This window comes from Homo sapiens, chromosome 12 (genome assembly GCF_000001405.40).
Source record: "Homo sapiens chromosome 12, GRCh38.p14 Primary Assembly".
Taxonomy (NCBI): Eukaryota; Metazoa; Chordata; class Mammalia; order Primates; family Hominidae; genus Homo; species Homo sapiens.
The window spans coordinates 85,863,597-85,867,701 of record NC_000012.12 but is presented as its reverse complement, the minus strand read 5'-3'; the positions used below and the strand labels follow the sequence as shown (position 1 = coordinate 85,867,701).

General features: G+C 43.7%; 1 annotated feature.

Moving 5' to 3' along the window:
• Nucleotides 314–413: a silencer, noted in NCBI's record as "silent region_4690". NCBI's record gives its function as "represses an Ori minimal core promoter by ATAC-STARR-seq in GM12878 lymphoblastoid cells {active_cell/tissue: GM12878}" and the evidence as "EXISTENCE:reporter gene assay evidence [ECO:0000049][PMID:35858748]".

The following is a 4,105-nucleotide window of genomic DNA, read 5'->3' as shown; positions in this document are numbered from 1 at the left end:
TATAGGCTAATACTTTTAACTTGAATGTACATTTAGTGAAAAAATTAGGTGTGATTTTAATTCCAATTCATCAGTTTAACCATGTTTTTCCACCTTTTCAGACTTAGCTGTATTACACATATTAAACAAAAACACAGACCCTTGATCTCAGAATCCTTCTTCTAAACACAGAGATCATGAAGAACCTAAATGGGCTCTGAATGCAATGAGTTGTCGTGACTGGGTAGAAGACAGAAAGTATGCATAGAAGAATCAGAGAAAAAGTGGGGTTTTAGCCTGAGGGGAGTCAAAGCTTGGTGCCTGGGAAGGAGAATATTTCCCACTTTGTACTCTAGGTGGCGGCACTAGTATGTACAGAATGGAAATATCAAGCAAGAACTCACAGTACTAGACCATATTTTAATGTCATCATAATTCATTGACCCAGAAAACGTAAAACTGAAAATGGCTGTATGGAGCTAGTCTCATACTTTCATTTTTCAGAGAAAGAGACAGAAGTCCAGATATTCTAGATGGGTTACAAATTTCCTTCACCTTCCGACTCTTAATCACATAGGTCCTAACTGCTCTGAGTCTGACCTCACTTCTTTTCTCAGGGGAAGGATTGATTCTCCAACATCGGTCAAGCTACTTTGAGAAATAATTTATTCTCTGTGAGTTTCTGTATAGCATCCCCACAAGTTGGAACACATCAAAGGGATTAGTCACTTTGAAATAGGCTTTCTTTTTGGACAGCCTATTTTTTGTCTTTATTCAGCAGAATGTCTTGCTTTTGGCACAATCAATTCTGTTGCTATCGTCCAGTAAACACAAATCTTTTAGCTCCTAGATCATGGAATCTCTACTTGGATAAACTTTTGTTTTACTATGTAACATCATCACCTTTTTTCTAAGTCTCTCTGGCCCTAAAGTTGAATGGACATGGTCATATGTCAGATAACCATACTCAAATACCTACAAGGACCAGGCAGGTAACATATCCTATTTAGGTTCTGTTTAAGGGGATCATCTCTGTGCTCCTGAGCTTCAGATGATTTTTCTCCACAAGAAAGTACAAACTGGGGTGGAGGGGTGGGGCTGAGGCCAAGGTGGCCCACTAGAAACAGCGGCGTTGGGAGACTCCCATCTAAAAGAACCATAATAAGTGTGAGAATCCTTTACCGGCAACCAAGGTATCCAGGTTCTCTCATCAGAACTGACTAGGAGGCTGGCATGATCCACAGAGAGGAAGAACAGTGTGGTGCAGTGGCCCACCTGAGAGCCACATGGGGCAGGGGACCCCCTACCCCCAGCCAAGGGAGGCGGTGAGTGAGCATGCTACCCAGCTGGGGAAACTGTGCTTTTCCCATGGTACTGTGCAAACCATGGATTGGAAGATCCCACTCATGAACCCACACCACTGGGGCCTAGCGTCCCAACTCTGGAGCTGCGCAGATTCTCAACAGCCTCTCAGATGGAATCTGCTTAAGTCTACCAAGCTGCCAGCACCACAGCTGCAGCTGACTGCTGTCTAAGCCATTCGAGCTCCTTGGGGAAAGGGCAGCAGCCAGCACTGGGACTCACAACTGCCTAACGTGCTAAGCTCCCTGGGTGGGGGAAGGGCAGCATTCATCTCTATAGCTCCAGACTGCATTTTCCCCCTGCTGGAGTCCGGGAGGCTGGACCACTTGGTCCCAAGATGTGTCTCCCACAGCCCGACACTCTGACTGTGGCAGATGGCAGCCAGACTGCCTTTTCAGGCCTGACCCTGACTCATCCTTCCTCACTGCGTGGGGCTTCCCTGCAGGAACTCCAATAACTCCAGCCAGAGGCTCAGGGACAGAACCTGGATTTCCCTGGGCCTGAGCCCCTAGTGGGAGGGGTGGCTGCAGTCTCTATGGACCAGCAGACTTAGCCTTTCCTCCTGGTAGTTCTGAGGAATCTGGGCAGCCCAAACAAGTAGGTTTTCCCCCAGCGAAGCACACCCCTTCCACCAAGGGACAAAGTGGTTTACTAAATTGGTGTTGTTTCCCATGCCCCCAAACTGGGTGAGACCCTCCAACAGGGGTTGTCAGACACCCTATATAAGACCAACCCTACTGGCATCAACTTGATGCCCCTCAAGTTCAGAGATCCCAGAAGAAGGAGCAGGCACCCATCTTTGCTCTTCTCCCAACTCCTTCAGTGACATCTCTGGCATGGGGATGAACCAGATGAGTAGGGCCTGAAGTAAACCCCCAGCAAACTGCAGCAGCCCTACAGAAGAAGGACCTGACCATTGAAAGAAAAGCAAACAGAAAGTAAGAACAACAGCATCAACTACAACAAAAAAAGCCCCCACAAAAACCCCATCCAAGTGTCAGCAGCCTCAAAGATGGAAACTAGACAAACTCATAAAGATGAGAAAGAATCCACTAAAAAATGCTGAAAACCCAAAAAGCCAGAGTGCCTCTTCTCTTTCAAATGATCGTGACGTCTCACCAGCAAGGGTGCAAAACTGGACAAAAGATGAGATGGACAAATTGACCAAAGTAGGCTTCATAAGATGGGTAATAAAAAACTACACTAAGCTAAAGGAGCATGTTCTAACCCAAGGCAAAGAAGCTGAGAACCTTGATAAAAGGTTAGAGGAAATGCTAACTAGAATAACTAGTTTAGAAAGGAACATAAATGACCTGATGGAGCTGAAAAACACAGCATGAGAACTTCCTGAAGCATACACAAGTTTCAATAGCCAAACGGACCCAGCAGAAGAAAGGATATCAGAGTTTGAAGTCCACCTTGCTGAAATAAGGCATGCAGACAAGACCAGAGAAAGAAGAATGAAAAGGAATGAACAAAGCCTCCAAGAAATATGGGATTTCATAAAAAGACTGAACCTATGATTGATTGGAGTAACTGAAGGAGGCAGGGAGCATGGAAACAAGCAGGAAAACACACTTGAGGATAATACCCAGGAGAACTTCCCCGATCTGCCAAGACAGGCCAACATGCAAATTCAAGAAACACAGAGAACACCACTAAGATACTTCATGAGAAGATCAACCCCAAGACACCTAATCATCAGATTCTCCAAGTTTGAAATGAAGGAAAAAATGTTAAGGGTAGGCAGAGAGAATGCAGGTCACCTACAAAGGAAGCCTATCAGACTAACAGTGGATGTCTTGGTAGAAACTCTACAAGCCAGAAGAGATTGGGGGCCAATATTCAACGTTCTCAAAGAAAGAATTTTCAACCAAAATTTCATATCCAGAAAAACTAAGCTTCATAAGCAAAGGAGAAATAAAATCCTTTTCAGACAAGCAAATGCTGAGAGATTTCACTACCACCAGGCCTGCTTCGCAAGAGCTCCTGAGAGCAGCACTAAATGTGGAAAGGAAAAATCAGTACCAGCCACAGCAAAAACACACCAAAATATAAAGTCCAATGGCACCATGAAGAAACTGCATCAACTAACATGCAAAATAACCAAATAGCATCATGATGACAGGATGAATTCACACATAACAATACTAATCTTAAATGTAAATGGGCTAAATGCCCCAATTAAAAGACACAGACTGGCAAATTGGATAAAGGGTCAAGACCCATTGGTGTGCTGTATTCAGGAGACCCACCTCATGTGCAAAGACACACGAAGGCTCAAAATAAAGGGATGGAAGAAAATTCACCAAGCAAATGGAAAAAAAAAAAAAAGCAGTGGTTGCAAGGTTGCAATCCTAGTCTCTGACAAAACAGACTTTAAACCAACAAAGATCAAAAAAGACAAAGAAGGGGATTACATAATGGTAAAGGGAACAATTCGACAAGGAGAGCTAACTATTCTAAATACATATGCACCCAATACTAGAGCATCCAGATTCATAAAACAAGGTCTTAGAGACCCACAAAGAGACTTAGACTCCCACACATTAATAGTGGGAGACTTTAACACCTAACTTTCAATATTAGATCAACAAGACAGAAAATTATCAAGGATATCTAGGACTTGAACTCAGCTCTGGATCAAGTGGACCTAATAGACATTTACAGAACTCTCCACTCCAAATCAAATGAACATACATTCTTCTCAGTGCCACCATGGCCCTTATTCTAAAATCGACCACATAATTGGAAGTAAAACATT